We start from the raw sequence: 20876 nt of genomic DNA on the forward strand, positions 1-20876 counted from the left end.
CATCCTGATACCAAAGCCTGGCAGAGACACAACAAAAAAAGAGAATTTTAGACCAATGTCCCTGATGAACATTGATGCAAAAATCCTTAATAAAATACTGGCAAACAAATCCAGCAGCACATCTAAAAGCTTATCCACCATGATCAAGTTGGCTTCATGCCTGGGATACAAGGCTGGTTCAACATACACAAATCAATAAACATAATCCATCACATAAACAGAACCAAAGACAGAAACCACATGATTATATCAATAGATGCAGAAAAGGCCTTTGACAAAATTCAACAGTGCTTCATGCTAAAAGCTCTCAATAAACTAGGTATTGATGTGGTGTATCTCAAAATAATAAGAGCTATTTATGACAAACTCACACCCAATATCATACTGAATGGGCAAAAACTGGAAGCATTCACTTTGAAAACTGGCATGAGATAGGGATGCCCTCTCTCACCACTCCTATTCAACATAGTGTTGGATGTTCTGGCCAGGGCAATCAGGCAAGAGAAAGAAATAAAGGGTATTCAATTAGGAAAATAGGAATTCAAATTGTCCCTGTTTGCAGATGACATGATTGTATATTTAGAAAACCACATCGTCTCAGCCCCAAATCTCCTTAAGCTGATAAACAACTTCAGCAAAGTCTCAGGATACAAAATCAATGTGCAAAAATCACAAGCATTCCTATATACAAATAATAGACAAATAGAGAGCCAAATCATGAGTGAACTCCTATTCACAATTGCTACAAAGAGAATAAAATACCCAGGAATCCAACTTACAAGGGATGTGAAGGACCTCTTCAAGGAGAACTACAAACCACTGCTCAACGAAATAAAAGAGGACACAAATAAATGGAAGAACATTCCATGCTCATGGATAGGAATAATGAATATCATGAAAATGGCCATAATGCCCAAGGTAATTTATAGATTCAATGCCATCCCCATCAAGCTATCAATGACTTTCTTCACAGAAGTGGAAAAAAATACTTTAAAGTTTATATGGAATCAAAAAAGAGCCTGCATTGCCAAGACAATCCTAAGCAAAAAGAACAAAGCTGGAGGCATCAGGCTACCTGACTTCAAACTATACTACAGGCTACAGTAACAAAAACAGCATGGTACTGGTACCAAAACTGAGAGATAGACCAATGGAACAGAACAGAGGCCTCAGAAATAACACCACACATCTCAAAAAAAGAAAAAAAAGTCAGGAAACAACAGATGCTGGAGAGGATGTGGAGAAATAGGAATATTTTACACTGTTGGTGGCAGTGTAAACTAGTTCAACCATTATGGAAGACAGTATGGTGATTCCTCAAGGATTTAGAACTAGAAATACCATTTGACCCAGTGATCCTATTGCTGGGTATATACCCAAAGGATTATAAATCATGCTATTATAAAGACACATGCACACGTATGTTTATTGCAGCACTATTCACAATAGCAAAAACTTGGAACCAACCCAAATGTCCATCAATGATAGACTGGATTAAGAAAATGTGGCACATATACACCATGGAATACTATGAAGCCATAAAAAAGGATGAATTCATGTCCTTTGCAGGGACATGGATGAAGCTGGAAACCATCATTCTGAGCAAACTATCACAAGGACAGAAAAACAAACACTGCATGTTCTCACTCATAGGTGGGAATTGAACAATGAGAACACTTGGACACAGGGTGGGGAACATCACACATGGGGGCCTGTCATGGGTTGGGGGGCAGGGGGAGGGATAGCATTAGGAGAAATACCTAATGTAAATGATGAGTTAATGGGTGCAGCAAACCAACATGGCACATGTATACCTATGTAACAAACCTGCGGGATGGGCACATGTACCCTAGAACTTAAAATATAACTAAAAAAAAAAAAAAAAAAGGAAATGCAGAAATCACCCATCTTCTGTGTTGGTCTCACTGGGAGCTGCAGACCAGAGCTATTCCTATTTGGCCATCTTGCCAGATCTCCTGTTCTTTTTTTCATTATTGAGTTTTAAGAATTCTTTGTGTATTTTGGAGAATAGTTCTTTATCATATATGTCTTTTACAACAAGTAGCTTCCTCCCTCATCTCTTTACTCTTTTCCACATAATCCTATTTATTTCCTTCTTGGCAGTTATCTCAATCTTGAGTACCTATTTATTTAGGTGTTTTATTTTTTGGGTTAACTAAAAGAAGGATGAGAAGTGGAGATCTGTAGGCTTCTTAGGTAGGGGAGACTTAAGACTTTCCTTGTTTTCGCCACTCCTCTACTTGTTTTCCCCCTGAGAGATGATGTGTGAGTTCTGATCCTCTGGAAGCAGATGCCAAGATGTAGTTGGAAATGTGAGACATATATGGGGCAAAATAGCCATGAAAGCTAATGGGGGCAATTGAGAAAGGAGTAGGGAAAGAGAGTAAGTTGAAGCAGGGCAGGTGAACCCCAAAATTGGGGCTTAGCCTGGGAGGGTTCTTGGCTTCACCCAGGAAGGAATTCAAGGCTGAGTTGGTGGTGTTAGCAACTTTTATTCAAACAACAGTATGCAGCAGCAGTAGAGGTACTGCTTCTTGAGGATCAGGGCTACTCCATAGGCAGTGTGCCCAGAGTAGCAGCTCAGAGGCAGTTCTGTAGTCATAGTTACACCCACTTTTAACCACATGTAAATTAAGGGATGGATTATGCAGCAATTTCTGGGAAAATGTTGATAACTTCTGGGTCATCACGTTGCCATGGAAAGGAGCGATAACTTCCAGGTGTTGCCATGGCAATGGTAAACTGACACAGCACACTGGTGGATGTGTCTTATGGGAAGCTGTTTCTGATAAAGAATGGCTGGGTTCCCAGCTAAACCCCACCCTCAAGCTTGGAACCTTGGCCCTAAGTGAAAATAGTGGACACAGCCCAGCCTGAAGGGTCAGCTGTTTTCACTTAGGGCCAAGGTTCCAAGCTTGAGGGTGGGGTTTAGCTGGGAGCTCAGCAGTTCTGTATCACTTCTACCCTGATACTGTTTTAGTTCTCAGTTTGGTCTGGTGTCCAAGCCCCATCTCTGGAGTGAAGTCCCACCTCCTACCTCAAAAGAAGAGAGAAAAGGAAGGAACATTGGGTAGGAAGAAGCTCAAACTGTGGCACAGCTCTGAGAATGTCTCAGCAATCTGATGAGGAGTTCTCAGGTGAACTATGCCCATTAGAGGAGTCCTGCACTGGGAAACAATTACCTGGCTCTAGTCCCCTGTCATCACCATCATGGGAAGAGCACTGGAGAACATGGCTTTTTCATGAATACTGCGGCATATCCCAAAGGAACATGGGCTTGGGGCTGTCCACTAAGCACACTCCTTGAACAGGTTCTAATTTGAGGGGAGAGCTGATTGGTGCTGTCCAAGATTGTCACAGGAAGGGTTACTCTGGATTGGTTGGACTTAAGGACACTGAGCCTTTTTTTTTTTTTTCTGTTGGATGGGTCGTTGAGCATTAAAAGCTTAAGGATAGAAGGTAGAGCAACCAGAACTCTCACACCTTGCTGGTGGGAATGTAAAATGGAACAAGCACTTTGGAAAGAAATTTGACCTGCTTTGTAACATTAAACATAAGCTTATCTGTTGAGCAAACATTTCCAGTCCTAGGTATTTATTTAAGAGAAATAAAAACTTAATTTTTACACAGATACTTATAAAAGAATACTCATCACAATTTTATTCAAAGTACCCCAGTACTGGAAATAGCAAAAATGTCCATTATCAGGAGAATGCATAAACAAATTGTAGCATGTGCATGCTATAGAAACCTACTCAGCAATAAAGAACAAATTACTGATATATAGCAAGTTTGCCAAAGGGATACATCCAGGTAATCCTCATCTGATCACAATGTAGAACATTAGACAAAGTTTCTTTGTGTCCCTTCCCAGTCAATTCCTTTCTCTGGATATATTAGCTTGCTTGGGCTGTGTTTTGTAAATACCAATTCTTCATAATTTGGTCTTGAGAGCCCCACCTCTTAATACCTTTGCACTGGGGATTAAGTTTCAACATGAATTTTCAAGGAGACACAAATATTCAAACTATAGCACTCTGCCTCTGCTTGCCAACAGTTTATATCTTTCTCACATACAAAATACATTTATTCCACCCTAGTAACCCCAAAAGTCTTAAGTCATTCCAGCATCAACTTTAGAGTCTAAGTTGAAATCTCATCTAACTATCATCTAAACAAAGGAGGATAAGTGCAAATTCTCCTCCTTGATTTTGATGACATTTAGATGATGATATTCAGATGTGAGCCTGTTGAGCCACCTCTCTTTATGGTGGCTATAAATATAGCCTGACCAGGAAAGCAGTTAGGTTCAGGTGTGTCGGTCAGGTGAGACACAAAGGAGGCAGCACAACAAAGCACATGGAATAACAGAAGCAGTTTTGTTACTTACATGTCCCAGAGAGAAGAGGACAGCATGCCTCATAGGACCAACAGGAAGGGGGATGCAGAACATGCATGCTTTTCTCAGCCAGTGTGTAGAAAGCAAGAGAGAGAGAGAGAGAGTGAGGGACCTGTAGGTCAAAGCCTTTACTGGGGTCCAACACATTACCCAAGCACGTTCCTGTGGGGGGTTCTCTCTGGTGGGTTTAGAGCAAGTAGGCCAAGTTCCATGGGTTCATGCTGTGGCTGAGAGGTGGTCCTTGTGGCATATCTGAGCAGTGCTTGAAGGGTGTAGGGAACAAGAGGAGTGAGCCAAGTATGTTGTACCTAGCTGTCCCATAAGGAGGTTGGAGAGGTGGTCACCAGAGGCAGAGGTTTAAGGCAGATATCTGGACTGACCATAGAGGAACTGGGATGAAATATAGAACCAGAAACTGTCAACGGTGACTGCACCCTGCTTCTGGTATGAGAAAGTTCAGCTTATATTAAAATGGATGCCAAGGAAATATAAAATTATGAGAATTTACTACAGGCTGCCATAGACAAGTACCACAAAGGCTGGGTGTGGTGGCTCATGCATGTAATCCCAGAACTTTGGGAGGCCGAGGCAGGTGGATCACGAGGTCAGGAGTTCAAGACCAGCCTGACCAACGTGGTCTCTACTAAAAATACAAAAATTAGACAGGCATGGTGGCACATGCCGGTAATCTCAGCTACTAAGGAGGCTGAGGCAGGAGAATCGCTTGAACCCAGGAGGCAGAGTTTGCAGTAAGCCGAGACCGAGCCACTGTACTCCAGCCTGGGTGACAGAGTGAGACTCCATCTCAAAAACAAAACAAAACAAAACAAAAACAAAAACAACAACAAAAGAAACAAAACAAAAAAGTACCACAGACTGGGGGTCTTAACAGAAGTTTTTTCACTGTGGGCCAGGCACGATGGCTCATGTCTGTAATACTAGGACTTTGGGAGGCCGACGTGGGGGGACCACGAGGTGAAGAGATTGAGACCATCCTGGCCAACATAGTGAAACCCTGTCTCTACTAAAAACACAAAAATTAGCTGGGCGTGGTGGTGCACGCCTGCAGTCCCAGCTGCTAGTTCAGCGGCTGTGTTCCCTTAGGGTGTGGAGCGTGTCTTCTATCAGATCAAGAGCTCCTTCTGAGCAGCAGATGCCTCCCATTGGATTGGGAGCTCCCCAAAAGTTGCAGTTGGCCACCTATGTCATGGAGCTTTCCCACTATGTTTTCTTCCAGTAGTTTTAAATTTTTCAGGTCTTACATTTAAGACTTCAATCCATTTTGAGTTGATTTTCATACGTGGTGTGAGATAAGGGTCTAATTTGATTCTTCTGCATGTGGATATCTAGTCCCAACATCATTTATGAAGACATTGTTTTTTCCCCATTGTGCATTTGTCTTAGTCCATTTGTGCTGCTACAATAAAATACCAGCAACCAGGTAATTTATAAACAATAGAAATTTATTTCTCACTTACGAATGCTAGGTTCAAGATCAAGGTGCCTACAGGTTCAGTGTCTGCTGAGAGCCTGGTCTCTGCTACCAAGATGGTGCCTCATTGCTCTGTTCTCCAGGGGGTGGTGGGGAATGGGTGCTGTGTCTTCACATGGGGAGGGTCAGAAGGGCAAAAAGAGCTAAATGCTATATGAAGTCTCTTTTATAAGGGCTTTAATCCCATTCATGAAGGAGGAGCCATCATGACCTAATCACTGCCTAAAGTCCCCACCTCTTAATACTTTTGCATTGGGGATTACATTTCAACATGAATTTTCAAGGGGACACAAACACTCAAACTATATCGCTCTGCCTCTGCCTGCCAACAGTTCATAGTTTTCTTAAATACAAAATACATTTATTCCACCCTAGTAAACCAAAAAATCCTAACTCATTCTGGCATCAACTTTAGAGACTAGTCAGAAATCTCATCTAAATATCATCTAAACCAAGGAGGATAATTGCAAATTCTCCTCCTTGATTTAGATAATATCTAGATGTGAGCCTCTTTAGATGTGAAATCTAACAAGTTATGTGCTTCCAAAATACAGTGGTGGCACAGGAATTCTCATTTTGAAAAGAAGAAATAGGAAAGATGAAAAAGGTAACTGATCCCAGGTAAGTCCCAACCCCAACAAGATAAAAAAAATTAAATCTTGAGGCTTGAGAATAATCTTTGACACCACGTCCTGCCTCCAAGACACACTGGGGCAGGGGTTGTGTCCCCAAGGCTCTGGGGGACTGAGCCCCATGACTTTGCACGGTGCAGCCTACATTACAGCTTTCGTGGGTTGGAGTCTAGTGCCTGAGACTCTCCTTGACTGCAGTTGCACGTTGGTGGCTCTACAGTTTTGTGGTCTTTGGGGTGACCCCACTGTCATGGTTCCACCAGACATCCTTATGGAGTCTCTCTGTGGCAGTCTTGATGCCATGGCCCCACTGGGCATTGCCTTAGTGGAGGCTGTCTGCAGCGGCCCCACCCCTGTGGCAGTTCTCTTCCTGGGCCCTAAGGCTCTCTGGGACATACTTTGAATTCTAGATAGAGGTATCCTTCCATGCTTCTACACCTCTTGCACTGTGCACACTGTCAGAATTATCACCATGTGCAGGCTGCCAAGGGTTACCCCCATGGCATCCAGAGGGGTGGCCTGAGCCACAGTTTAGCCCATTTGAGCCAAAGGTGGGGTGGCTGAGAAATCTAAGCCAATCTGCAGGGGGCAGAGACATGAGATGCCACAGGGAAGTGAGCTCCACGGTCCTATGGGCACCCTGGGCCCCTCCCTTGAAACCATTCTGCCTCCAAAGCCCTGACACTCAGGCCTTCAGTGGCAGCCCTGAAGATCTGCAAAATGTCTTCAGGGTCATTTTTTCATTGTCTTGATAAGTAGCATCTAACTTTCTTCTATCCATACTAATCTCTTTCAAATGTTCACTTGGCCACACTTCTGATATTTTCTCCCAAACACGACTTTTTATTTTTTACAGGAAGGCTGAGAATTTTCCAAATCTTTAAGTTATGCTTGCCTTTTGATTATAAATTCTGTCTTTAATTTGTTTCTCTCTTCTCACATTTTGCTACAAACAATCAAAAGAAGTCATGCTGCTCCTTCAATACTTCATGTAGATATTTCTTCCACCAAAATCCTCCTTCATTGCTTGCAAATTCTGCCCTCCACAAAACATGAAGACATTGACACAAGGCCACCAAGTTCCTTGCCACCTTACAACAAGGATGGTTTTTCTTCCAGTTTCCAATAAGACATTCCTGATTTTCATCTAAGACTTTATCAGAATGTTCTTTACTATTCATATTTCTACCAGCATTTTGATTATGACCATCTAATCTCTAAGAAGACTGCGGCTGTCTCTACAGCTATCTTCTTTGGAGCCTTCAGCAGAATTGTTATTAATGTTCTCTTTAAAGCAATCCAGGCTTTTTGTAGCATACACTTAAAAACTATCCCAGCCTCTACCCAGTACCCCATTTCAAAGCCACCTCTACATTTTCAGGTATTTGTTAGAGCAACATGTCACTTCTCAGTTCTAATTTCTGTCTTAGTCCATTTGTGTTGCTATAAAAAAAATGCCACAAACTGGGTAACTTATAAACAACAAAAACTTATTTCGCAGAGTTCCAGAGGCTGAGAAGTTCAAGATTAAGGCTCTGGCAGGTTCAGTGTTTGGTGAAAGCCTGGTCTTTGCTTCTAAGATGGCACCTTTTTGATGTGTCCTCGAAGGGACAGATGCTGTGTCCTCACATGGCAGAAGGGACAGAAAGGCAAAAAGGGCTAAATGCTGAAACCTCTTATATAAGGATCTTAATCCCATTCATGAGGGAGAAACACTCATGACCTAATCAACCCCTAAAGGTCCCACCTCTTAATACTATGGCATTGGGGATTAAGTTGCAACATGAATGTTGAAGAGGACACAAATATTTAAACCACAGCAGGGTTCTTGGCACTTTTGTCACAAATCAATTGATCATAAATGCATGGACTTATTTCTGGGCTCTCCATTCTGTTCCGTTGATGTATGTGTCTGTTTTTTATGCCAATGCCATGCTGTTTCGATTACTATAGCTTTGTAGTATATTTTAAAGTCTGGTGGTATGATGACTCCAGTTTTGTTCTTTTTGCTCAAGAGTACTTGGGTATTTGGGGTCTCTTGTGATTTCCAAGGGTCTCTTTTGTTTTATTTCTGTGAAAAATGCCACTGGAGTTTTCATAGGGATTGCATTGAATCTGTAGATCACTTTGGGTAGTATGAACATTTTAACAATATTAATTCTTTCAGTCCTTGAACATAGGATATTTTTTCATTTACTTGTGTCTTCTCCAATTTCTTTCATCAATGTTTTATAGTTTTTAGTGCACTGGACTTTCACTTCTTTCATTAAATTTATTCCCAAGTATTTTATTTTGCAATAGCTATTTGAAAAGGGGATTATTTTCTGGATTTTCATATTTAGGGTAGTTTATTATTAATGTATGGAAATGGTACTTTTTGTATGTTGAATTTATTTATTTATTCTTCAACCTCTGGAAGCACAGAACATTTATGTTGATTTTACATCCTGCAATTTTACTGAATTCCTTTATTAGTTATAACAGGTTTTTTAGTGGAGTCTTTAGAGTGTTTTATATATATAAGATTATGTTATCTACAAACAGAGACAATTTAACTTCTTTTCCAATTTGGTCACCTTTTATTTTCTTCTCTTGCCTAATTGTTCTGGCTAGAACTTCCAGTGGCAAGAGTGAGCACCTTGTCTTGTTCCTGATCTTAGGGGGAAAGTTTGCAACTTTTCACTGTTGAGTATGATGCTAGCTGTGGGTTTGTCATATATGACCTTTATTGTGCTGAAGTACATTCCCTGTATAGCGAATTTGTGGAGAGTATTTTCATGAAAGGGTGCTAAATTTTGTCAAATGCTCTTTCTGTATTTCCTGTGATGATCATATGGGGTTTCTCCTTCATTTTGTTTATGTGGTGTATCAAATTTATAGATTTGTGTATGTTAAAGTATCATTGTATCCCTGGTGTAAATCCCACTTGATCATGGTAAACAATCTCTTTAATGTGCTACTGAATTTGGTTTAGTAGTATTTTTCGAGGATTTTTCTTCTATGCTCATCAGGGGTATTGGTATATAATTTCCTTTGCTTTTAGTGTCTTTGTCTGGCTTTGCTACTGTGGTAATGACGGCCTCATAAAATGAATTTGGAAGTGTTTCCTCTTCTTCAGGTTTTTAAGTGTTTGATGAAACTCAACAGTAAAGCCATCATGTCCAGGACTTTTCTTTGTTTGGATGTTTTTTCATTACTGATTCAATCTCCTTGTTCATTATTGGTCTGTTCAGATTTTCTATTTATTTGTGATTCAGTCTTGGTAGTTTGTATGTGTCTAGGAATTATCCACTTCTAGATGATCCAATTTGTGGACATCTAATTATTCACAGTAGTATCTTATGATCTTTTGTATTTCTGTGTTATCAATTGTAATGTCTCCTTTTTCATATTTGATTTTATTTATTTGAGTTTTCTCTTTTTCTTAGTCTAGATAAAGGTTTGTTTATTTGATGTATCTCTTCAAAACACCAACTTAGTTTTGTTGATCTTTTCTACTGTTTTTCTGGTTTCTATTTTACTTATTTCTGCTCTGGTCTTTATTATTTTCTTTCTCCTCTTAACTTTGAGATTAGTTTGTTTTGTTTTCTAGTTCCTTGAATTATAATATTAGGTTGTTTAAGATCTTCATTTTTCTATGTAGGTATTTATTGTTATAAACTTCCTTCTTAGAACTGCATTTGCTGTATATTGTAAGTTTTGGTGTGTTGTGTTTCCATTGTTGTTTGCCTGAAGTTATTTTTATTTTTGCTTTTAATTTATTGACCCACTGATTGTTCAGGAGAATATTGTTTAATTTCCATGTATTTGTGAATTTTCCAAAATTTATTGTTATTGATTTCCTTTCATACCATTGTGGTTGGAAGATACCAGATATGATTTAAATCTTTTTAAATTTCTCCCTTCAGATCTATTAATATTTTCTTTATGTATTCCAGTGTTCTGATGTTAAGTGCATATATACTTATAATCATATCCTCTTGATTATTTGACTCCCCCTAAACTTAACTACTAATAGCCTATTATTGACTGGAAGTCTTACTCCTTCATTGTAAGAATAAGGTACATAATACTTATAACATGCAAAATGTGTGTGAATCAACTGTTTATGTTATCAGTAAGGCTTCCAGTCAATAATAGGCTATTAGTAGTTAAGTTTTGGGGGAGTCAAAATTATATGTGGATTTTCAACTGCAAGGGGAGGTGGGAGTGTTTGTACCCCTAACCCCTGTGTAGTTCATGAGTCATACATATAGGTTTTTGCTTTGTAGTTACCATGAGGTTTACAAAAAGCATTTTATGGTTATAACACGTTTTAAGTTGATAACTTAACTTTGACTACATTAAAATAAGGTCTGCACTTTTATTCGCCCTTTCTACCATTTAAAATTTTTGGTGTCACAAATTTAAAAAAATTTTTATATTGTGTGTCCCTTAGAAATTATTGTAGCCATTATTATTTTTAATAGTTTTATCTTTTAACCTTCATACTAAAGACATAAATGATTTATACACCACCAGTATAGTATTAGAGTATTTTGAATTTTACTGTGTACTTACTTTACCAGTGAATCTTATGTGTTTTCTTGTTATTGATTAGCATCCTTTTCTTTCAGCTTAAAGAGCTTCTTTTAGCATTTCCTGTAAAACAAATCAGGTGGTGATGAACTCCCTCAGCTTTCATTTATCTGGAAAGCCTTTCTGTTTTTCATTTATGAAGAATAGCTTTGCCAGGTATGATTTTTTTTAATGGAGTCTCATTCTCACCAAGGATGGAGTGCAGTGGTGTGAACTCGGCTCACTGCAACCTCTGCCTCCTGGGTTCAAGTGATTCTCGCACCTCAGCCTCCTGAGTAGCTGGGATTACAGGCGTGAGCCACCACACACAGCTAAATTTTGTATTTTTAGTAGAGATGGGGTTTCATCATGTTTGCCAGGTTGGTCTTGAACTCCTGACTTCAAGTGATCCACTCGCCTTGGTCTCCCAAAGTGCTGGGATTACTGGCGTAAACCACCACGCCCAGCCTGGATATTATATTTTTGATTGACAGATTTTTTTTTCCTTTAGCAACTTTGAATATATCATCCCACTCTCTTTTGGCCTGTAAGGTTTCTGCTGAGAAGTTTGCTGCTAGCCTTATTAGAACTCTGTTATATATTATTTGCTTCTTTCCTCTTGCTGTTTTCAGGATCTTTTCTTTGTCCTTGATTTTTGACAGTTTGATTTATGTCTTGATGTAGTTATGTTTGGATTGAATCTGATTGGAGACTTTTGACCTTTCTATACCTGGATATTTATATCTTTTTAAAAATTTGGAAAGTTTTCTGCTATTATTTGTTGATATACACATTGTATCTCTTTGTGTTTCTCTTCTCTAACTGAAACATTTGCTTTTTTGATACTGCCCATAAGTCCTATAAACTTTATTCATTTCTTTTTATTCCTTTTTCTCTTCTAACGGTGCATTTCCAAATAATCTGACTTCAAGTTTACAGATTTTTTTCTGCTTGTGTCTACTGTTGATACTGTGTATTACATTTTCCATTTCATTCATTGTGTTTTTTAGTTCCAGAATTTCTGTTTGCTTTTTTGCTTTCATTATGACTTTTTAAATTGACATATAATAATTGTATTTATTTGTGGGGCTCAGTGTGATATTTTGATATAGGTATATAATATGTGTAATGATCAAACCAGGGTAATGAGCATATCCATCACCACAAACATTTATCATTTATTTGTATTGAGAACATTTAAAATCCATTCTTCTAGCTATTTGAAAATATACAATAATTTGTTGTTATTTATAGTCACAATATAGTGCTATAGAACACTGGGACCTATTCTTCCTACATGGCTGTACTTTTGTATCCATTAGCCAACCCTTGATAGTGTCCTCTCTTCCCTTCCCTTTTCTGCCTCTAGTACCACCATTCTACTCTCCATGTTGGTGAGATCAACTTTTTAAGTTTCCATATGTTAGTGAAAACATAGAGTATTTCCCTTTCTGTGCCTGAATTTTTCATTTAACATAATGTCCTCCAAGCTCATCCATATTGTTGTGAATTATAGAATTTCATTCTTTTAATGGATAAACAGCATTCCATTATGTATATATACCACATTTTCTTCATTCATGTGTTTATAGACACTTAGGTTGATTTCATATCTTAGCTATTGTGAATAGTACTGCAATAAACATGGGAGCACAGATAGCTCTTTGTTACACTGATTTCCTTTCCTTTGGATGTGTATACTCAGTAGTGGGATTGCTAGACCATTGGTAGTTTTAGTGTTTTGAAAAACTTCCATATTATTTTCCACAATGGCTGTACTAATTTACATTCCTACCAACAATGTATAAGTTTCCCTTTCTCTACTTCCTTACCAGCATTTGTTATATTATTGTCTTTTTGGTAATAGTCACTTAACTGGGGTGAGATAATATCTCATTGTGGTTTTGATTTGCATTTCCCTGATGATTAGTGATATTGAGCATTTTTTCACAGACTTGGGCATCTGCATGTCTTCTTTTGAGAGATGTCTATTCAGTCATTTGCCCATTTTAAAATTGGATTATTTGAGTTGTTTTAGTTCCTTGTATATTCTAGTATTAATCCCTTGTCAGATGAATAGTTTTCAAATATTTTCTCCCATTCTTCAGGTTGTCTCTTCATTCTGTTTGTTTCCTTTGCTATACAGAAGGCTTTTAGTTTAATGTAATACCATTTGTCTATTTTTGTTTTTGTGCTTGTGCTTTGAAGTGTTCTCCATAATACCTTTGTCCAGATCAGTGTCCTAAACTGTTCCTCCTATTATGTTTTTTTTCTTGTACTTCCATGGTTCGGAGTCTTATGTTTAAATCTTTAATCCATTTAGAGTTTGTTTATTTATTCCTTTATTTATTTATTTGGCTAAGTCTCACTCTGTTGCCCAGGCTGTAGTACAGTGGCATGAGCTCAGCTCACTGCAGCCTTGACCTCCCAGACTCAAGTGATCCTCCCACCTCAGCCCCCCAGGTAGCTGGGACTACAGACATGCACCACCATGCCCAGCTAATTTTTGTATTTTTTGTAAAGGTGGAGTTTTGCCATGTTGTCCATGGCTTGTCTCAAGCTCCTGGACTCAAGAGATCTTTCTGTCTCGGCCTCCCAAAGTGCTAGGATTATAGGTGTGAGCCACCACGCTCAGTCTAGAGTTGATTTTTTTATACAGTGAGAGATAGTGGTCTAGTTTTTTTTTTTTTTGCCTGCATATGGATATTCAGTTTTCCCAGCACCCTTTATTGGAGAGACTGTCACTTCCTCCATGAATGGTCTTTGTGGCTATGTTGAAAATGAATAGGCTGTAAATACATGGATTTATTTCTGTGTTATCTAATCTGTTTCAATGCTCTATATGTCTGATTTCATGCCAGTACTGTCCTGTTTTATTTTTAAATTTATTTTTATTTTTGGCAGAGATGGTGTCTCTCTTTGTTGCCCAGGCTGATCTTGAACTCCTGGCCATAAGAAATCCTCCTATCTCAGCCTTTCAAAGTGCTGAAATTACAGGCATGAACTACTGTACCTAGCCACCACACTGTTTTGGTTAATATAGGTTTGTAGTATATTTTGACATTTGGTGGTGTGATGCCTCTAGCCTTGTTCTTTTAGCTGAGAATTGATTTGACTATTCAGGGTCATTTGTGGTTCCATAAAATCTTTAGTATTTTTTTTCTATTTCTGTGAAGAATGCAGTTGGTATTTTGATAGGCATTTTATTGAATCTGTAGATAATTTTTGGTAGTGTGGTCATTTTCACAGTATCAATTCTTCCAATCCATGAACATGAGATGTCTTTTTTTGTGTGTTTGTGTGTCCTCTTCAATTTATTTAATCAATGTCTTACAGTTTTCCTTGGAGACATCTTTCATCCCTTGTTTAAATTTACTCCTGGGTTTTTTTTTAAAACCATTATAAATGGAATTGCTTTCTTGATGTTTTCCCACTAGTTAGTTGTTAGTATATAGAAAAAATACTAATTTTTGCATATGATTTTGTAACCTGTGACTTTACTGACTTGTTTGTCAGGTCTAAGGCTCTTTTCTGTGAGGCTTTTAGGTTTTTCTACATATAAGATTATGTCCCTGTAATCCCAGCACTGTTGGAGGCCAAGGCAGGTGGATCACGAGGTCAGGAGATTGAGACCATCCTGGCCAACGTGGTGAAACCCCATCTCTACTAAAAATAAAAAAAAATTAGCCAGGCGTGGTGGCATGTGCCTGTAGTCCCATCTACTCAGGAGGCTGAGGCAGGAGAATCGCTTGAACCTGGGCAGCAGAGGTTGCAGTGAGCCTAGATAGCGCCAATGCACTCCAGCCTAGGTGACACAGCAAGACCCATCTCAAAAAAAAAAAAAAAAAAAAAAGATTATGTCATTTGCAAACAGGGAAAATTTGACTTCCTCCTTTCCAATTCTTTTATTTCATTTTTTACATAGTTTCTCTGGCTAGGACTTCCAGTACTATGTTGAATAAAAGTTGTAAAAATGGGCATTCTTGTCTTCTTCCACACCTTAAAGCAATAAGTGGCAACTTTTCACTATTCAGTATGTTGTGGGTTTGCAATATATGTATTTTATTGTGCTGATATACATTCCTTTTATATACCTAACTAGTTGGGAGTTTTTTTTTTTAATCATGAAGAGATGTTGAATTTTATCAAATGGTTTTTCTGCTTCTATTGAAATGGTCATATGGTTTTTGTCCTTTGTTCTGTTGATATGTTGTACATTTATTGATTTGTATATGTTGAACCATTATTGCATTCCTGGAATAAATGTCACTTGACAACAGTGAAAGATCTTTGTAATGTGCTGCTGAATTAAGTTTGCTAGTATTTTTTTGAAGGTAGAAGAAATATTTAATAATGTTGGTTTTGCTATCAACATTAGGGAAAGAATAACTTTCTTTATTCATGTAAAATACCTTTACATGAATAAAGAAGCTAAATGTAAAGCTCCAACCATGAAAATATAATTATAGACACTCAAGTAATTGATAGTTTAGTACATCTGGAAAGTTTGAAGGAGAAAGACTTCCTAAGTAGTATATATGTGATTTTTAACAATTAGAACAATAAACAGATGTGATAGAAAAAATTTTAAATACCTACACCACAAGAAACGTCATCAACAAAAGAAAAAAATAAAGCAAATATGATAGAGAAGAGATTGATATTTTTGGCACATAAAAGTTATTGCTTTGAATGTCTTCAGAATTCTTGGGGGGAGGGGAAGAAGGTTAATGCAATTTGCAATAAATGCTAAGACCTGAGTAAATAAACCAGAAGATAATAAGAAAATAAAATTTACCAACATAAAATAACACTGTCAATTATAAAAATAATGCAAATTAAACAAACACTAGGGTACATATCGTACGTATTAATAAAACAAAAGTTGAATGGTAATTTATTTGCTAGTGATGGTGTATCAAAAATGTTGTCACCTGCCGGGCACGGTGGCTCATGCCTTTAATCCCAGCACTTTGGGAGGCCAAGGCGGGCGGATCACGAGGTCAGGAGATCGAGACCATCCTGGCTAACACAGTGAAACCCCGTTTCTACTAAAAATACAAAAAATTAGCTGGGTGCAGTGGAGGGCGTCTGTAGTCCCAGCTACTCGGGAGGCTGAGGCAGGAGAATGGCGTGAACCCGGGAGGTGGAGCTTGCAGTGAGCCGAGATAGTGCCACTGCACTCCAGCCTGGGCGAAAGAGCGAGACTCTGTCTCAAAAAAAAAAAAAAAAAAAAAGTTGCCACCTACATTGCATATAGCATTTTATTTTATTTATTGTTTTATTTCAATAGGTTTTTGGGGAACAGGTGGTGTTTGGTTACATGGATAAATTCTTCAGTGGTGAATTCTGAGATTTTGGTGTATCCATCACCCGAGCAGTGTGCACTATACTCAATAAGCAGTCTTTTATTCCTAAGCCCCCTGCTACTCTTCACCCCGAGTCCTCAAAGTCCATTATATCATTCTTATGCCTTTGTGTCCTCACAGCTTAGCTCTCACTTATAAATGAGAACATATGATGTTTGGTTTTCCATTCCTGAGTTACTTCACTTAGAATAATGATCTCCAACACCATCTAGGTTGTGCAAATGCCATTATTTCATTCTTTTTTACAGATGAGTAGTGTTCCATGGTGTGTGTGTATATATATATTTATATATATTTATATTTATAATATTAAAATATAATATATTTATATTTAATATTTTTATATTACATATGTATATTTACCACATTTTCTTTATCTACTCATTGATTGGCATTTGGGTTGGTCCCATACTTTTACAATTGTGAATTGTGCTGCTATATACATACATGTGCAAGTGTCTTTTTCATATTAAGACTTCTTTTCCTCTGGGTGGATACCCAGTAATGGCATTGCTGGATCAAATAATAGACCTACTTTTAGTTCTTTAAGGAATATTCATACTGTTTTTCATAATGGTTGGACTAGTTTACATTCCCACCAGCAGTGTAAAATTGTTCCCTTTTCACGACATCTATGTCAACATATATATATATTTTAAATTACAGCCATTCTTGTAGGAGTAAGGTGGTATTGCACTGTGGTTTTGATTTGCATTTCCCTGATAATAGTGATGTTGAGCATTTTTTCATATGTTTGTTGACCATTTGCATATCTTTTTTGAGAATTGTATATTCATGTCCTTAACTCATTTTTTGATGGGATTATTTTTTTTTCTTGCTGATTTGTTTGAGTTCCTTGTAGATTCTGGATATTAGTCCTTTGTCAGATGCATAGCTTGTGAAGATTTTCTCCCACTTTGTAGCTTGTCTGTTTACTCTGTTGATTATTTCTTTTGCTGTGCAGAAGCTTCTTAGTTTAATGAAATCCCATCTATTTATATTTGTTTTTGTTGTATTATCTTTTGGGTTCTTGGTCATGAATTATTTGCCTAAGCCAATGTCTAGAAGGGTATTTCTGATGTTATCTTCTAGAATTTTAATGGTTCATGTCTTAGATTTAAGTCTTTGATCCTTTTTTTTTTTTTTTTTGAGACAGGGTCTCTGTCACCCAGACTGGTGTGAAGTGGCGTGATCTTGGCTCACTGCAACCTCTGCCTCTGCGTTCAAGCAATTCTCCCACCTCAGTCTCCTGAGTAGCTGGGACCACAGGAGTGCACCACCATGCCCAGGTAATTTTTGTATTTTTTGGTACAGATGGGGTTTTGCCATGTTGGTTGGTCTTGAACTCTTGACCTCAAGTGATCTGCCCACCTTGGTCTTCCAAAGTGCTGGGATTACAGGCATGAGTGACCATGCCTGGCCTTTTGATCCACCTTGAGTTCACTTTTGTATAAAGTGAGAAATGAAGATCCAGTTTCATTCTTCTACTTGTGGCTTGCCAGTAATCCCAGAACAATTTGTTAGACAAGGCGTCCTTTCCTTACTTTACGTTTTTGTTTGCTTTATCTAGGATCAGTTGGCTGTAAGTTGGCTTTATTTCTGTGTTGTCTATTCTGTTCCATTGGTCTGTGTACTTATTTCTATACCAGTACCATGCTGTTTTGGTGAGTATAGTCTTATAGTATAGTTTGAAGCTGGGTAATGTGATGCCTCCAGATTTGTTCTTTTTGCTTAGTCTTACTTTGGCTGTGTGGGCTTTTTTTTTTTTTTTTTTTTTTTGGTTCCGTATGAATTTGAGGATTGTTTTTTCTAGTTCTGTGAAAAATGATGATGGTATTTTGAAGGGAATTGCATTGAATTTGTAGATTGCTTTTGGCTGTGTGGTCCTTTTCACAATATTGATTCTACCCATCCATGAGCATGGGATGTGTTTCCATTTGTTTGTGTCATCTATGATACTTTCAGCAGTGTTTTGTAGTTTTGCTTGTAGAAGTCTTTCACCTCCTTGGTTAGATATATTCTTAAGTATTTTATGTGTGTGTGTGTGTGTGTGCACAGCTATTGTAAAAGGGATTGAGTTCTTGACTTGATTCTCAGCTTAGTCACTATTGGTGTCTAACAATGCTTCTGATATGTGCACATTGATTTTGTATCCTGAAACTTTACTGAATTCATTTATCAAATCTAGGAGCTTTTTGGATGGATCTTTAGGATTTTCTAGATGTTCAATCATATCATCAGTGAACAGTGACAGTTTGACTTCCTTTTTACCAATTTGGATGCCCTTTTTCTCTTGTCTGATTGCTCTGGCTAGTACTTCCAGAACTATGTTGACTAGAAGTGGTGAAAGTGGGCATCCTTATCTTGTTCCAGTTCTCAGGGGAAATGCTTTCAACTTTTCCTTGTTCAGTATAATGTTGACTGTGGGCTTGTCATAGATGGCTTTTATTATCTTGAGGTATGTCCCTTCTATGCTGATTTTTCTGAAGGTTTTAATCTTTATGATTCTTGATTTTGTCAAACGAGTTTTCTGCATCTGTTGAGATGATCATGTGATTTTTGGTTTTGATTCTGTTTATGTGGTGTGTCACATCTATTGACTTGTGTGTATTAAACCATCCCTGCATCACTGGTATGAAATCCACTTGGTCATGGTAGATTATCTTTTTGATGTGCTGTTGGATTCAGTTAGCTAGTATTTTGTTGAGGATTTTTGCATCTATGTTCATCAGGGATATTGGTTGTAGTTTTTATTATTGTTGTTTTTATGTCCTTTCCTGGTTTTGTTATTAGGGTGATACTGGCTGCATAGAATGATTTATGGAGGATTCCCTCTTTCTCCATTATTTGGAATAGTTTCAATTCCAAAAGATAGAGAAATACCAATTCTTATTTCAATGTCTGATAGAATTCAGCTGTGACTCTATCTGGTCCTGGACCTTTTTTTGTTGGCATTTTATTTTATTTAAAAAATTTTTTATTTCCACAGGTTATTGGGTAACAGGTAGTGTTTGGTTACATGAGTAAGTTCCTTTTTTTTTTTTTCTTTTTTTTGAGATGGAGTCTCACTCTGTCGCCCAGGCTGGAGTGCAGTGGCTTGATCTCGGCTCACTGCAAGCTCCACCTCCTGTGTTCATGCCATTCTCCTGCCTCAGCCTCCCGATTAGCTGGGACTACAGGCGCCCACCACCATGCCCGGCTAATTTTTTGTATTTTTAGTAGAGACAGGGTTTCACCGTGTTAGCCAGGATGGTCTTGATTCCCTGACCTTGTGATCTGCCCACCTCAGCCTCTCAAAGTGCTGGGATTACAGGCGTGAGTCATCACACCCGGCCATGAGTAAGTTCTTTAGTGGTGATTTGTGAGATTTTGGTGCACCCATCACCTGAGTAGTATATACTATACCCAGTTTGTAGTCTTTTATTCCCCACCCCTTCTCACTCCTTTGCCCTGAGTCCCCAAAGTCCACTGTGTCATTCTTATGCATTTGCATCCTTATAGCTTAGCTCCCACTTATGAGTAAGGACATAAAATATTTGGTTTTCCATTCCTGAGTTACTTCACTTAGAATAATAGTCTCCAATCTCATCCAGGTTGCTGTGAATGCTAATAACTCATTCCTTTTTATAGTTGAGTAGTATTCCATCATATATATACATACCAGTTTTTTTATACACTCATTGTTTGATGGGCATTTGGGTTGGTTCCACATTTTTGCAACTGGGAATTGTGCTGTTATAAACATGAGTGTGCAAGTATGTTTTTTGTATAATGACTTCTTTTCCTCTGGATAGATATCCAGTAGCGGGATTGCTGGATCAAATGGTAGTTCTACTTTTAGTTCTTTAAAGAATCTTTACATTGTTTTCCATAGTGGTTGTACTAGTTTACATTTCCACCAGCAGTGTAGAAGTGTTCCCTGTTCACCATATGCATGCCACCATCTATTATTTTTTGATTTTTGGATTATGGCCATTCTTTCAGGAGTAAGGTGGTATCACACTCTGGTTTTGATTTGCATTTCTCTGATCATTGGTGATGCTGAGCATTTTTTCATATGTTTGTTGACCATTTGTATATCTTCTTTTGAGAATTGTCTATTCATGTCCTTAGCCCACTTTTTGATGGGGTTGTTTTTTTCTTGCTAATTTGTTTGAGTTCATTGTAGATTCTGGATATTAGTCCTTTGTCAGATGTATAGATTGTGAAGATTTTCTCCCACTTTGTGGGTTACCTGTTTACTCTGCTGACTGCTCCTTTTGCTGTGCAAAAGCTCTTTAGTTTAACGAAGTCCCATCTATTTATCTTTGTTTTTATTGAATTTGCTTTTGGGTACTTGGTCATGAAATCCTTGCTTAAGCTAATGTCTAGAAGAGTTCTTCCAATGTTATCTTCTAGAATTTTTA

General features: G+C 38.0%; 1 annotated feature.

Annotated features, from left to right (window-relative positions):
* Positions 13441-13610: an enhancer, noted in NCBI's record as "experimental_1580 CRE fragment used in MPRA reporter constructs". NCBI's record gives its function as "activates a minimal promoter by MPRAs in K562 erythroleukemia cells, with activity observed for the non-introgressed 1:20345907 variant allele {active_cell/tissue: K562}" and the evidence as "EXISTENCE:reporter gene assay evidence [ECO:0000049][PMID:34662402]".

This window comes from Homo sapiens, chromosome 1, assembly GCF_000001405.40.
Source record: "Homo sapiens chromosome 1, GRCh38.p14 Primary Assembly".
In the NCBI taxonomy this organism is placed as follows: domain Eukaryota; kingdom Metazoa; phylum Chordata; class Mammalia; order Primates; family Hominidae; genus Homo; species Homo sapiens.